The 16,086-nt window shown below is 45.4% G+C and overlaps 1 annotated feature.

Annotated features, from left to right (window-relative positions):
- Positions 4,851-5,051: a silencer, noted in NCBI's record as "peak6804 fragment used in MPRA reporter construct". NCBI's record gives its function as "represses an SCP1 promoter by STARR-seq MPRAs in K562 erythroleukemia cells {active_cell/tissue: K562}" and the evidence as "EXISTENCE:reporter gene assay evidence [ECO:0000049][PMID:32103011]".

Below are 16,086 nucleotides of genomic sequence, written 5' to 3'. Positions count from 1 at the left end.
ACTTCTAATCCCAGCCCCATCATCACCCTTAGCAAAAAGCCATGTCAGCTTTTCAAAGGACTGTGGTCTGGGATAACAAAGAAGTAAGTGGTATTTGTGAAACCACAGACAGTTAATTCAGATACACCAGCCCAGGGCTGAGTGCCCAGCAGTGAGGGATTGCACAATGTGTATACACACGCCCGCACACACTGGGACACAGTGGTGGCAGGGTATGTAAAACTGCTCAGTCACCATCATTCTTCTTTATTCTCTTCATAGTAGAAGCACTTTAAAATTCTGCTTCTGTAGTCCTTTTTTTTTTTTCTTGAGACAGGGTCTTGCTCTGTTGCCCATGCTGAAGTACAGTGGTGTGATCACTGCTTACTGCAGCTTCGACCTCCTGGGCTCAAGTAATCTTCCCCCATCAGCCTCCCAAGTAGGTGGCACTACAGGTGTGCACCACCACACCCAGCTAATTTTTGTATTTTTTTTAGAGATGGGGTTTTGCCATGTTGCCCATGGCTAGTCTTGAACTCCTGGTCTCAAGCAATCCACCTGCCTCGACCTCCCACAGTGCTGGGATTACAGCATGAGCCACTGCACTAGCCCTGTAATCTTTTTAATACTTGCTTAACTTGTCTATAAACTTATATGTCTTTTGATTTGAGCCCTTGGCCTGCCCCCAGGTATTGTCCTTTGTCCTGGCTTGTGCACCTGGTATGTAATTAAAATTGCTTACTGCCTAGGTTTTTCACTAAAATAAGAATTACTAAGAGTTAACATTATAAATTAATGAATGTAATTAAAACTACTAGGTACATACAATGTGTATTAAACAGGTAGGCTGTGTTTTTTTTTGGAGAACAAATGTTAAAATAAGTCATGGGAGTGTGGTTCTTTTTTAAGAGAAAGTGTTTTTTTCTAGTTTAGAGGATTTTAAGGACTGTTTCAAGTTAACAGAAACGACAAAACTGAAGGTTTAAGCAAGTCGTAGAAGGTTTGTGGAAGATTGATCTTGTAAAAGGAATTTTGTGTGTGATCAAGTTTGGCTAAAATTTTAAGGGGATTATTTAGATATTATACAAATTGAACATTCATATAAATAGCACATTGATGCAGGGTCAGAATCTGAGCACCTGTGTGAGGCAGGATTTTCTTGGAATATTGATGTGTTCTTTAACACAAATTTGTAAAGTTTATAAAAGCCTCATGGAAATCTTACCTTACAATCAAACTAATTAAAATTTGGTAGATTTGCTTATAAGATTCTATTAAAGCTTTAGAATTAACAATACAGTAATACAAAAATAAAATTTGGTTTTCTCTTTTAAATAAGATTTTTGTATAATATTAAGAGATAGTAAAAGATTTTCATTTGCCCTTTGAATAAACTGCCAAAAAAATTAAAGAAGAAGGAGAGGAGAGACAGATTCAGTTGGCTTCACACTGTCTCTATTAGGTCCTATTTTTTAGAAAACTGAGGTCTTCTTTATCAAGGAGTAAAGATTTCTGCTTTTTTTTAAAATTGGTGAGTTATCACTTTAGCTAAATGATTATAATGACCTGTAATCTCATTTTGCGATATCAAGTGCTTTAAACTTTTAATGTTGGACTAACTTTCCAAGATTAAATTCTAAATGCAGTCTTTTAACCTCAAACTGACTTTTAAATGTCCAACAGAGGCATATTTGGCTTATTTGATATGTTAAAATCATACAGGAGGCATTGCCAAGTATAAAATGGTGTGTAACTTTCTTTGAAATATATTTATATAAATGTGCTATTGTTATGTGTTCCAAAATTGTATAATATTCTTATAATTTTAATATGTCTTGGTATATGTGATCAGTAATAATTATAATTATGGTAAATTATTGTGTGCCACAGAAATAACCAGATTTCCTTGTCAATTATATCTTTGACTGTGGATATCTTTTGTCATTCACAATTATTATTTTACTTTGTTCCTTTTCAAAAAGTTGCTTATAATCAGTTATAGGACTCTGATGGTGTATTAGTTCATTCCCATGCTGCTATGAAGAGATACTTGAGACTGGGTAAATTATAAAGAAAAGTTTAATTGATTCACAGTTCTGCATGACTGGGGAAGCCTCAGGAAACTTAGAATCACTGGAGAATCACCTCTTCACAGGGTGCCAGGAGAGAGAATAAGTGCCAAGCAAAGTGGGTAGCCCCATATAAAACCATCTGTTGCCCATGCTAGAGTACAGTGGGCAACTCACTGAATGAGTGAGTTCTCATTAGAACTCACTAGCATGAGAACAACATGGGGGGAACTGCCCCCCATGATTCAATTACCTTTCACTGGGTCCCTCCCACCACATGTGGGGATTATGGGATTACAATTCAAGATGAGATTTGGGTGGGGACACAAAGCCAAACTGTATCAGATGGATACTTTTAAATGCAGGTTTCTGACAGCTTTGGAGATTGTGCCATTAAAATAGAGGAAAAAAATCTTCCAGGACACTCCTGGAGATCTGATGTATTCATGAGGATTGTTGACCCAATATCAAATAGAACAGAGGTTAATTGCATGAACTGAGCTAATAGAAGACTAAAATAATTTTTTGTGTGATCTTTTTGTCTGAAACATTGGTGATTCTTTTCATTTTTTGGGTTGTTTACAGCTTTTAACAATTGAGTAAAATATGCTCTTGTGAGCAAAATTTAAAGCATATTTCTTTCTCTCTACCTGATTTCTCCAGAATTTGAAAACTATTTTTGAGTATTCTTAATTTATAACAATATAGTTATTTGTATGAGCTCAATAAGAATCTGCTTTCTTTTGTAACAGGACACAATTGGAGACTATTATTTTACTAAAGCTTTGACTAGAATGAAATATTTTAAGCTATAAACAAAACAACAAACTGTTTTAAGGAATTGCCATTGACTTATAGAGCCAATAAAAGATCCTTAAAAAAACTGGCCTTGTACCTTGCCTACACAATTCTTTTACAGGGTTCCCAACCTGTGATAAGTAAAGAACGTTACTTTCTGGCAGGCCCGGGAACCCCAAGTTATCTTGGGATTAAGAAGAGAGGCATTCGCCCAGTTCATACAGATATCTGCAGGCACAAATAAATTCTTGACTGGGCTTGGGGCCTTTAAAAAGTCTAAACTAAGATTCCTTAAATAAAAAAGTTTCCAGCAAAGTCAATTTTAAAAAAGCCTAAATAGAAAATAATTATTCTTGCTGCACTTTATACAAAGAATCAGGTGAAGTATAATACAACTAAAGCTTTTCTACAAATAAATTAGTCCTACTATGATTTGTCTTTGATAAAAATGGAGGACTGAGATAAAAATTATGTTTTTTTTTTTTTTTAAAAAAACATATAAAACACCTCTTCTTAGACCCCACCTTATCAATTGTTTCTCAGTTTCATTCTTTGTTAAAATGCATTTGGACTGAATCCTAAGTCCTTTCCTGGCTACAAGTCTCCAAACTACTGTTCATTTTTTTTTTCCTTTTTCTTTCATTTTTTCCCTTTTTTTTCTCATTTGGAATCTAGAAATTAAAACTAGAAATTTTAATTTAAAATTAAATTAAAATTAAAACTGTGCTTTTCTTAAAGTTCTGCCAAGTGAAACTTGAAACTTAAACTTTGGGAAAAGTAACAGCAAATTATTTATATATATAAACCACTTTTGTGCCTGCCTACTCATTCATGGACTTCAGAGCAATATAGCCTAAATCAGTTTTCCAGGATTACTTTCCCCTTTTGTTGTCATGATCTTTCCTCCTTTTCTACTGGTTTTCTTTCTCTCTTCTTTCCCCTATTTTTCTCTGTGGAACATGAAACTTCACAACCTGCTAAGAATGATCCTTTCTAAAATGAGGGACCTAACCCTCTAGAAATAAACTGTCCTAGTGACAAGGGATCAGACCAAACCTGAGATCAGACACTCACTTTCTTCTACAATGCTTTCCCTGAAAGATTTGGAAGAACAGGGTGGGAGGATGTGAAAGGAAAATAACATCTTGGGACCTCAAACTCACTATGTGAAAGGGAAAAGTTAAGTTTGGAAACTGAGTCAAACTTTTGGAAGTTGCCTTTCTTCCAAAAAGTTTGGAAACTGCCTGTCTTTTTGTTCCTAAACAGATAGCCTCAAGACAGAAGGCCACATTAGCTCCCCAGATGGCCTCCTTCACCCTGACATTATAAATTAACAGTTTATCTTCACGGGTACAGGAGAAGAGAAGAATAGAAATCGTCCCTCCTCCTACCCTGGGATGAAGGCATATTTGACTTCTTCCTCTAATTTACTTTGTCTTATGTAAAGTGCAGATTTACTGAGCATGACACAAATACATAAATGACTGTTCCTCTGTCCCCTGCTTCTCACATGCAACATGTGGATTCAGTGAGCACTAATCAAAGCCTCAAAAGAATGTAACCACTTGTCTACTCTCCGCCACTTTTCTTTAACTTTTCTCCTTCCCCTCCTGGCCACTTAACCCCTTTAAATATTGAAGCCTTCAAAACCCACTTTGGAAAAAGTGCAGGCCTCAGATCTTACTGTGGCCTGTGTCTCTTTTTCCTGTGTCCTCAACCTTGCAAAATAAACCTGTAAATTGATCGAGACTTGTCTCAGACATCTTTTTCTCAGTTTACAACTTCCACTCCTGTGCAAAGCTAAACTCCCATCTGTGTTCTAGATCCATTCCTCACTCTGTCTTTTCACACCCTGTGTCCATCACTGTCTCCTCTGACCCCTCTCACGTGTGTATCTTCAACTTCTCCTTCTCTGGTAGCTCTGTCAGCAAATAAGCATGCTCTATTCTTTTGCATTTTCGAAGAAACTGCAAACTCCCTCCCTCAACCCCACCTCTTCTTTCAGCTACTCCCTGTTCAGGGCCAAACTTCTTAAGAGTAAATCCCATTGTCTACTGGCCTCCCACTGACACCTCAACCCATTGTGATTTGACCCTGCCTTCTCCGTGATACTGATACCTGTAGTTAAATCCACTGAACAGTCTTAGTTTTGCTTGAACACTCGGTAGCATTCAGATTACGGTTAATTGTGCGCCACTTCTCAACACGTCTTGTGCCACATATCGCAGCTGTCCTGGCTGCTTCTCCTCCACTGACCCCTTAAAGATTTTCAGTCCACAGGCTGTTTTCCTTACCACCTGGGTAGTCCTGCCTAATTCAATAGATTACCATGCACAAGCTCAGAATCCCTAGCTCCTTATCGTCACCTTAGATCTGTCTCCGGAGCTCCAGGCATGAACGGCTTGGACGCCTATTGATTGGACCGCTCTACCTGGATGTTTTACAAACACCTCAAACTCAACATGTCCCAAACTGAACAGCTTTTCTTCCTCACCAAACCTGCTCCTCCACCAGTGTTTCCAACCAAGTATGTGGTAGCACAACAAAGTTGCCTAAGCCAGGATCCTAGGCGTCCCATCCTCCACACCTCTATCTCAACTCTCATATCCAGTTGATCTCACGTCTTGTGGATAGTCTAGTCCCTAAATTTCTCCTTTGAAAAATAACTAATTTTGATTAGATAACACATCACAAGGTACAAAACCCAAACAGCACACAAGATATCTAGGAAAGTAAGCTCTCTTATCTCTGTCTCAGCCTCTTGCTTGTTATTCTCAGGGACATTCACTAATGAAAGTTTATTATTTATCCTTCCAAAAATACTCTAGACATTTCCAAGTATATGTATGTATATGTTTATCTTAAAATACATATAATAGCTTAGTAGATTAGAAAAGGAGTTGTTGCTTTTGTCACTTAGGATATTTTAAAGTGTCTCATTCTGCACATGATTTTACCATGATGTATTATTTTTATTCCTGGGTAGTGCTATATTCTCCTTCCCCCTGGCTTTCATAATTTCTGGACCTTTCTACCCCTCTGCCTCCATTTCCTCTTTCATTGCTGTGCCTTTTTTTTTTTTTTTTTTTTTGAGAAGGAGTCTTGCTCTGTCGCCCGGGCTGGAGTGCAGTGGCATGATCTCTGCTCACTGCAATCTCCACCTCCTGGGTTCATGCCATTCTCCTGCCTCAGCCTCCCCAGCAGCTGGGACTACAGGCGCCCGCCACCACGCCCGGCTAATTTTTTGTATTTTTCGTAGAGATGGGGTTTCACCGTGTTAGCCAGGATGGTCTCGATCTCCTGACCTCGTGATCCACCCGCCTCAGCCTCCCAAAGTGCTGGGATTACAGGTGTGAGCCACCTCGCCCGGCCCATCGCTGTAACTTTTATTCATCCTATTGGTCTCAGCTTAAAGATTATACATTTAGGGTGGGTGAATGTGCACATGTGTGGTAAGAGAGGGGGCTCCCTGACTCACTCCTAGACTAGGTTAGAGACTACCTGCTTTATGTTGCTAGACCACCTATATTTTCTTTTTATTACACACACTGGACTTTATTGCACTTGTTTGTTTAAATGACTATGAGCTCCACAAACGTAAAGATGATGTCCATCTTATTCACCCTTGTATTCCCAGTACCTGGCATAATTCCTAGTACAATGTATTGTGAAATGAATATTTATTAACTGAATCTATGAATGATTGACCTATTTTTATTCTGACTTTTCTTACTGGCCACACATATTTCCACTTTTTTTCTACCTGTCAAAGGTGGTAAAAAAAATAGCTGCCTTTTGAGTGAGGTTGTAGTAATTAAAGATGACCACATAATATGAGTGGAAACACTTTGGAAAGAATAAAAACCAATGCAAATGTGATTGCTAGAACATGTTTTTAGCCTAAATATACGTGTGTGTGAATATGTATTTGTGTGTGTGTCTGTGTGTGTATATATGAGACACAGAGAGAGAGAGTGAGAAGAAGGAGGAGGAAGAGGAAAAAGGTGGTGGAGGAGAAGGGGCAGGAGGGGGACTGACAGAGAAGAGAAGAAGGAAGAAGGGGAAAAAAGATGAAGAATAAGAGGAGGAGGAGGAAAAGGGGGCAAGAAGTCCTTCAGCAAAGCTCTGGGACAGCACTTACTGTCTGGTATGTGGTACCCTCTGTAAGAGGCATTAAGATAATCTGTGAGATTCCACATCTGCCCTCAGGAGCCCAAGTGAGAAGGGAAGAGAACACATACACACAGACATCAGCTCACTGCAGGGCAGATGTGGGAAGTGACCCGTGTGCTAAACGAGATGGCAAATGTCTCTTCCTGCCTGGCAGCTGCAAGGCTTCTATACAGGACTTCAGAGACAGGGACAGGGAGTAGAAGAAATATCCACTGCTCGTTCTGCCTCAGGAATTCTTCAGGTACCCACAAATGGTTACTATTCTTCCCCCTCTGTCTCCCCCATCCCTGATTATTTCAGAATATAGAATGCAAAAAAATATTCATGCTTCTGTATGTCTCATAGGCCAGAGGCTGGAAAGCAATGAGAAAATGTTGTTCTCAGCCGGGTGCAGTGGCTTATGCCTATAATCCCAGCACTTTGGGAGGCCAAGGTGGGCAGATCACCTGAGGTCGGGAGTTCAAGCCCAGCCTGACCAACATGGAGAAACCCCATCTCTACTAAAAATACAAAAACTAACCAGACATGGTGGCACATGCCTGCAATCCCAGCTACTCGGGAGGCTGAGGCAGAAGAATTGCTTGAACCCTGGAAGTGGAGGTTGCAGTGAGCCGAGATCGTGCCATTTCACTCCAGCCTGCACAACAAGAGCGAAACCCCATCTCAAAAAAAAAAAAAAAAAGAAAAGAAAAGAAAAAGAAAATGTTGTTCTCAGAGGCATCACTGGACTTTTAAAATGCCTCCCTCCCTCAGACGTTTGCAAAGTATGTTATTGACAAGGTGCTGGGTTCTGGTAAGAACAGCTGAGTTGCACCTGAGGAATGGCTGTGCCGGAAGCCTCAGGAATGGGGGCCAGAGGTCAGCATTCCTCCCCCTGTGTTGCATCTGAAGAAATGCAAGATAAGGTCTGGGCAGAGCTGAGGGAGGGGAAAAAAAGGAGGAGGGAGAGAGTAAGCCAAGGTAGGGCTGTCTTAGCAGGTCCTTAGAGCAGGATGGCATTGCATGGCAGGGCAGAGAAGAGACATTGGAGAGAGAGAGAGGGGCCAACAATGGCATCCAGAAGGCTGCTTGGCACACCTGAGATCACTCCAGGAAAAACTGAGAGAATGCCTTGACATGAGGTCAAGGATCATTTACCTCCTTGAGTCAAGCTCACTTGTTTCTTAAAGGTTAATGAGGAAAAGATGAGAAATGGGCATGGTGAGAAATACTTTAACCAGGTAATGCTGAGTGATGTCATGCAGACAGGGAGAAGTTGGTGAAGTGTGGCCCCCCTCTCTCTGCCCTGGGATGGCAGCCAGGTTGGAGCCACCTGGGGAAGGACTGGACACACCTTCTTCATTTTGCTTGCACCTCTTTGTTATCCCTGGGTTTGAGGAGGCGGCAATTAGGATCAATTGAGCCTGAGGGGGTAGGGGCTTGTGCAAGCCAGCTGCAGCATGGCAAGCCTGAGTGTGTGCCTCCACACTTACCTGTGCAGTGCTTCCTGCACTTACCTGTGAGGAAGAGCTTCTCCTTCGTGATTCCTTTTTTTTTTTTTTTTTTGAGACAGAGTCTTGCTCTGTTGCCAGGCTGGAGTGCAGTGGCGCAATCTCAGCTCACTGCAACCTCCACCTCCTGGGTTCAAGCGATACACCTGCCTCAGCCTGCTGAGTAGCTAGGACTACAGGCACGTGCCACCATGCCCAGCTAATTTTTGTATTTTTTTTAGTAGAGATGGGATTTCACCGTGTTGGCCAGGATGGTCTCGATCTCCTGACCTAGTGATCCGCCTGCCTCAGCCTCTCAAAGTGCTGGGATTACAGGCATGAGCCACCTCGCCCAGCCTCCTTCATGATTCTTAAAGGTCATTCTCTTTTCAACAAAGCTTTCTTTCTTTGGCCCTTTTACTTGAGCTGCTTTTTTTCTTCTTCCTGACCAAACTGTGGTGCCCACTGAGGGTTACAACCTGCCTCCAAGACACATCATCACTACCACCCTGCCCCAACCACCACCAGGGCCCTCTTTGGTCGGTACTGTCTTAGGTGCTCGGTTAACCCAAGGCCACCTCAGCCGCTGCCTCTTTTCTCATCCCCATGAGCAGAGCTCCCTCGAGAACGGGGGCCCCTGCCGGATGACGTGTGCATGTGAAAACCCAGTTTTACTCCCCAGCTCTGCCATGGTATTAGTGAGGAAACCTGTACATCAGTCAGTGATGATGATAATTTCTGACTTGTGTACCTGACATGATTATGACAAGAAAATAGCACCAAGCATGTGAAAGCACACACGTTCCTAAAATTTTACTGCTGTAAGGAGTGATTGCAATACCTTGGGCTGCCCTGGTTCCCTTCTCTTGTGCTCTTGCTCCCTCTGCTTTTTCTGAGCCCCCTCTGGACACTGTCTTCCAATTCAGAAATAAGGATATAAGGGAAAGAGATGTAGAAATAAAAGGCCATGGCTCCATGAAGGTGACACTGGCCAGGTCCTTAGAGCCTCTGTCATGCCCATAGGTCAGAGAGGGTAACCCCCCAATGATGGCTCTTTACTTCTTCAGGAACTCTCAGACTCCAGCCCCTCATCCTGTAGTCTCTCTCTTCTCCCTAAATAAACCACATCCAGAGAGGGAAGCTGCAAAGGGAGGGTTGCAACAACTTGTTCTTTCTTTTTTTGGGGGACAGGGTCTTACGCTGTCACTCAGGCTGGAGTGCAGTGGTGTGATGGTGGCTCACTGCAGTCTCAACTCAGCCCTCAGCCTCCCAAATAACTGGGACTACAGGTGCACCACCATGCCTGGCTAGTTTTTTGTTTGTTTTTTGGCAGAGACAGGGTTTAGCCATGTTGCCCAAGCAACTTGTTCTTTCTTTACCCAGGCAGAAATCTCTGTCTCTTTCCCTTCTCTCTCTCCCTCCCTCCACAGGTGAACTTGGTGAACCTGAGGGGCAAGAAGGAGGCAATCCCAGGTTCCATGGCCTCTGTGCCAACCCCCCAGGTCTCAGGTCAGTGATCACTCCTTCCCTCTGGGTCCCAGGCCAGACCTGATGGGGAAGCTCAGGGCGGGAGGGTGGGAATGGCTGGGGAGACAGGTGTCTCTGCTACATACACCACGTCCTTTCCTCCATCCTAGTTGCTGCTCCCTTCCCACCTTATCCAGGCCAATTAATCTTTCAAGAGCAGATGGCCATTTCTCTGTGTGTGGGCTGGGGATTGAAAAACCCCCTCCCCACCCCACCGGGCACACACACACCTCCCTGCCACCTTTCCTTGTTCTTCACCACCTTCTGAGCCCCTCTCTTGTACACTGGGCCACCTTTACCCTTGGGGCCTAGGAAAGAAAATATACCTATTAAATAGCTTGCAATTTCCCAGGCACAGCTCATTCCTCATAAAACGTAGTTCATCATAAACTCTACGCCAGGCACTCCAGTGCGGAAAAAGAAGAATGTGATGTGATTTAGCCTCTTCCTTTGAGACTCTCTAGGTGGGAAAAATAGGCAAGCAAAGGGACAATGTTAATGCAGTAAGATCCTTTCCATGCAGGGCAGGAGGGAAGAGAGGTGGGGGCACAGGAGAGGCAGGGACTGGCCCTGACTGGGTAGAGTTGGGTGCCTAGGGAAGAAAAGAGAGAGTGTGACATTCAAGTTGGGCTTCAGAGGATGAGCTGGAGTTTATGAACAGATCATCTGGGGCATCTTCCTGAACTGGGGCAGGATTGGCCTGATTAGAGAGCCTGGTGTAGGGGAAATGCCATAACCCGTATTTCCTCACTATTCAAGTCAACAGTGAACAAGAGACTTAGATGTAAACAGTCTCTTTGGGAGAGCAGGGGGTGAGGTCTATGGAAGGGATGATACAGAAACCCACCCTGTGTAGGTGGTAACAGCCTGAGGCAGGATCTACTCTAGTCTCCTGGAGGGAGAGAGCGGATTTTCTCACCAGAGGGTAATGTGGTCTATCACTGAAAGGGCTCCAAGGCAGAATAACAGCCATAGAAGAGAAGAATGAGGGAATAAGAACAGAGGCTATTACTGTATATTTGCCATGGGCCAGCTGCCTCCCACACTCTTCTCTCTCATCTAATTCTCAGGAGCCTGCAAGTTAGCTGTTGTCATCCTAATTTTACAGACAGGCAACTAAGGCCCAGAGAGGGTGAGTTACTTGCCTAAGGTCAAGTGACTATTACCGTGCTCCTTTTGTAGACAAGGAAACTGAGGCTGAGAGGGGTGTGCCAATTTGACTAATATCACTCAGCCAGTAATTAGCAGAGTCTGATTTTGAACCCAAATTTATCTGGCTCCAAGACCTTGTACTTCTACCTCACAATTCAGAGCCCCTGAGATAAGACAGTTCTAAAGTCTCTACCAGAAAGCTGTTTCCTAGATGGGTTGGATTTCAAATACTCCCCCCAAAGCAAAATGATAAAACAAGTGACTTGCATTCATATGACACTTTATGGTGTATAAAGTCTTTTCATGGTCGTTATCTTCTTTAATCCTAAAAACAACCCCATAAAGTAAACAGAGCAGTATTAAGCGTTCCTGTTTTACAGACAAGGAAGCTGATTCTCAGAGAGATTGTCTGATTGAAGTCACAGATCTCACCAGAATGGAGCAGGGCAATGACCCAGGATTTCTGGGCTCCCGGAGAGATCTGTCTCCACAAGGGCTCCCTCGTTGTATGGACAGATGGACAAATCCAGATCCTGGTGGATGGAGCACAACCCTCTTCATAAAGTCTGTAGCAAGGGTGAACACAGATAATGGAACTAAAAGACACCTCTGAGTCTGTCAGCTCACAGGCACTTGCACACTTCTGACAGTGTGTTTAGTACATTGCAGCAGCCACCCTCAATGTTGGGCACACAACTTCAGTCAGAGGATCATCCACCAGCACCTTCAGTGTTGACTCGGATCGGCAGCCCTGTGCCAATAGTTTCCTTCTGCACTTTGGTCTGCCTGCAAGAATTTTAGGCCCAGTACTGCCTGCGAAACAGTTCCTGGACTTCCCAGCAGCTTGAAGACTCAGGGTTCCCTCAGACACTCCAAAGTCAGCTCTTATAGTTAGAAACCTCGGCAAGGCAAGGAGAAGGAGGAGGAGAAGATAAAGGAGGGCAAGTGGGAGCCCCGGGCAGGAGAACTGCTCCCAGGGCACAGCACATAGCTCTGTGATGACAGGGGTGATGGGTAAACAGATTCCTATCGGGAGATCATTGTATACTCCAGCTGTCGCCCATTCCCACCTTGCCCCATGCTTGTACCAGCACACACATGCTCAAACAAAGCCAAGTTGCACACTCCAGCATCCACACTCCCACGTGCACAGGGCACTACACACAGGAGGGAACCATGCCCCATGCTCCAAGAATCGTGTGATGGAGGCTGGGGAGGTGGGGAGTTGCAGAATAGCTAAAGTCTTTTTTTTTTTAATTTTCTAGTTCCTGTTAGTGTAGTGACTGACTAGCGACCTCACGCTCCTGGTGCCCAGCTAGGTCCAGGATTTCCCAACAGTCATCTGGAGAACACACTATTGGGCTTCCATCCCTCCCTGTACCCAGCTGGGACACCACCTCCTGGCCCCCTCAGCTGCTGCCACTCCACCTTCCTCTCAGCCTCCCAGCTCAGGTATCTGCCACAGAATCTGCCCAGTCCTGGTGTCTCAGCTTAGCACTACCCTGTGGTCTAGGGGGAGGCTGAGCCACCACCTTCTCCCTACTGCAGTTCTATCCAGGGGCGAAGCTCCCGTTGTGAGAAAAGTTGGGGAAGGTTTGCACCCTGACTCGCTGGTGCCTCCCAGCCCCTAGGTTCTTGGGTGTGTCCCTACTCCACCTCCAGGGGACTTCCTCCCCCTCAGTTCTGCTCCTTCCCTGCTTCTGGGTCTCTCTGTCCTGGACCCCTCAGACCCAGACCTTTCAGAAGAGGCAGCTTGCTTCCAGTGTGTCCCCCTCCCATGGTTTGGGCATGTCTGTACATGTTTTTTTTTTTTTTTTTTTTTTTGAGACGGAGTCTCGCTCTGTCGCCCAGGCTGGAGTGCAGTGGCGGGATCTCGGCTCACTGCAAGCTCCGCCTCCCGGGTTCACGCCATTCTCCTGCCTCAGCCTCCCAAGTAGCTGGGACTACAGGCGCCCGCCACTACGCCCGGCTAATTTTTTTGTATTTTTAGTAGAGACGGGGTTTCACCGTTTTAGCCGGGATGGTCTCGATCTCCTGACCTCGTGATCCGCCCGCCTCGGCCTCCCAAAGTGCTGGGATTACAGGCGTGAGCCACCGCGCCCGGCCGTCTGTACATGTTAAACCATCCTCCACTCTTAACCAAGTCTGGCATTTTGCTTTTTTTTTTTTTTTAAGGAGGTGGTGGGGTGTTTGGGTGACTGCTTGCCTTAAATAGAATTCAATAGAGTTCTTCTCACTGTCTGCCCTTTCACTGAGTTTGTTGGTTGAAGAGAGAAGAATAAGAAGTGCAGGTGGGGACAACCAGGGGAAGATTGGCAATCAAATGCCACCCCTGCAGGCCTGCTGCCCAGAAGGCTATGGTGAGCAGACTGCATGCTTCTGGAAAAGAATTCTGCTTTGGGTTTGAATTTTTAACAGCCATGATGGGCTTTGGGATAAAGGCTTGTTCCTGTCTTCTGAGCCCCAAATAATGCTGTTTACTCTGGGCTTAGTGGCCCCCACATACCCTCCTTTCCCCACTCTCTGGCTAAGAGGCAACAGCCAGGTTCTCATGGAGTGAAAACTGTTGGTGACCTAGAGTCCAGAGTCTGGGGACACTGCCCTGGATTGGGGAGCCAGCCCACTCCCGCCTTGTCAGAGGGAACACGCACGTTGTCCCCTCCATATCTGTGGCTTTCCAGAGCTCCAAGAATCACCATGGTTCAGGAGCTTCATCCTCTCTTCAGCCAGAGCTACTTGGACCACAGAATCCTGTCATTCGGAAGGTCAGAGGAGAATCAGAGGCTTTGTGTCTTCATGTTCTGCCTGCGGCCTGCTCTCTCCTTCCTGTGTAACTCAGAGACAAAGACAGTCAGGCTTAACCTGAGAGATGAGCCCTTTCTGACACAATGAAGCTTTGAGCTCCATCCTGCCTATAGCTGGAAGCTGAGGGGGGCTACCTGGGATAGCAGAGAATGGAAAAGGGAACAGGGGCACTCAATATCTGGAGTCCTTATTTTTGTAGATCAGGAAATGAAAATGTAAGTGACTTGGCCAAGGACACCAAGTGATTTCTGGTCAGCTGGGGTTAGAATGCAGCTGTCTTTATTACAGATCAATTGCTCTTTCCATTTTACTTCTCCCAGAAAGCCGATCCGCTGCAAGGCACACTTAGCCTACTTGTAAAGCTTCCCAAAGGGCTGCAGCCTCTCTTCTTGTTTGTCTTTTGTGCCTGCAAGAGAAGAGATGGGGCCAGGTATGGTAGAGTGAAGAGGATTGGGGTCCAGTTCTCACAGGGAGGAGAACTTGGGGTCTCATGAGGAAGAGAGAAAAAGATGAGGGGCAGAAAAAAGAGGCTTGGGGGAAACTTGGCCAGAAGGACCAGAGGCTGGGCCCAGGGCAAGACTGAAGAGCTTGGCATCCTCCTGCGGGTACCAGATGTCAGGGGACCCATGCAGGGGGCAGGGGGATTCTAGCTGCAGCTGGGCAGAGCAGGTGGGGCATATGGGCTTCCTCCAAAGCTTCAGGCCTCCTCTCACAAACCCAAGAGGGTCAGTACCCATTCTCCCCAGATCAGCACTCAGCCCTTCCCCTGACATCTTCTGGCTGGGGAACTCAAACTCATTGAGAGGGTGATGGAGGGGCTGTAAACTACATGAGCACTCCCAAGGTTGGACCCACCTTCCACTGAGGAGGGGAGTGGGAGAGGAGAGGGGTGAGAACTGGCAGACAGTGGGGAGAAATGGAGAAGAGGGGACGGTGGCCATACAGATGCCCACGTATGCCCTTTGGGTGCATTCTACACAGGGGTAGGGGCCCAGGAGGACTGAATGCCTGTGGGTCTTGAAATCTATAGACTGCTGGGAAGATGCTGGAAAACAGGCACCTGCGTGCACACACACACAATTGCTCTGGAACATCACTGTCATGTATTGATTCATTTTGACACAAAATACACCATGCATACATTTATGTCAAATAACGTGCACATGCATATCTAGATGGTAAAACTGGCTGCATGGTGTGGCTGCTCATCACCTCTGCCTCCCTGTGCCCTATTTTCATCTCCAACTCAGCCCTTCAACCACCCTGCTCTTGGATCTTGCCCCCAGATCTTGCTAAGGAAGCGTGTGGAGTGTGAAGCTCCTTGGGCGCGGAGGCTCCGTGGGGCCAAGGACTGGGAGGTAGGAAATGAGGGCTTGAAGCCCCAGGGATGGAGCTACAACGAGTGATTGGGATGAGAAAAGGGATCCGGGACTAAAGTCACTTTCTAGGGAAAGGTGCATGGCAGTTCTGCAATAAATTAGACCTCTTGACCTATGAAAGTTGAAGTGACTTCGTGTGCATTGGGACCGTGGGTGAAGCATATTTCTTCAGATGCGCTGGATGTTTGAGTACAAAAGGACATTGGAGAGTTTCAGAACAAAGTGCTTCCCAGGGAACTGCAGAGCCAGCGCGACAGTCAGATACCTCCAGTCAGGCACCGCAGCAGCGTACCGCGCCCCCATCCCTGGGGTGGGAGGTGTAGGGGGTAGGGTGTGTGTGTGTGTGTGTGTGTGTGTGCGGTGTCTGTAGTGTGTGTGCATGATGTGTGTGGTATATGGTGTGTGTGCAATGTGTGTGGTGTGTGACGCATGTGTGTGTGGTGTGTGTGTGGTATGTAGTATGTGCGGTATGTGGTGTGTGTGTGGTAGGTGTGTGCTGCATGTGTGTGCTTTGTGTGGGGGTTGCATGGTGTCTGCTGTGCATGTGTGTGTGGTGGTTGTGTGTGTGTGGTATGTAAGTGGTGTGTATGTGTGGTATGGGTGGTGTGTGCTGCCTGTGTGTGTGCTGCATGTGGGTGTGGTGTGTGTGGGCTGTGTAGTATGTGGTGTGCATGTGTGTGTGGTGGTTGTGTGTGTGTGTGTGGTATGGGGTGTATGTGTGTATGTTGATGTGTG

The sequence above is a fragment of the Homo sapiens genome, chromosome 7, assembly GCF_000001405.40.
Source record: "Homo sapiens chromosome 7, GRCh38.p14 Primary Assembly".
NCBI lineage: Eukaryota > Metazoa > Chordata > Mammalia > Primates > Hominidae > Homo > Homo sapiens.
The sequence above is the reverse complement of the archived record's forward strand: the minus strand, read 5'-3'. Positions and strand labels throughout refer to the sequence as shown.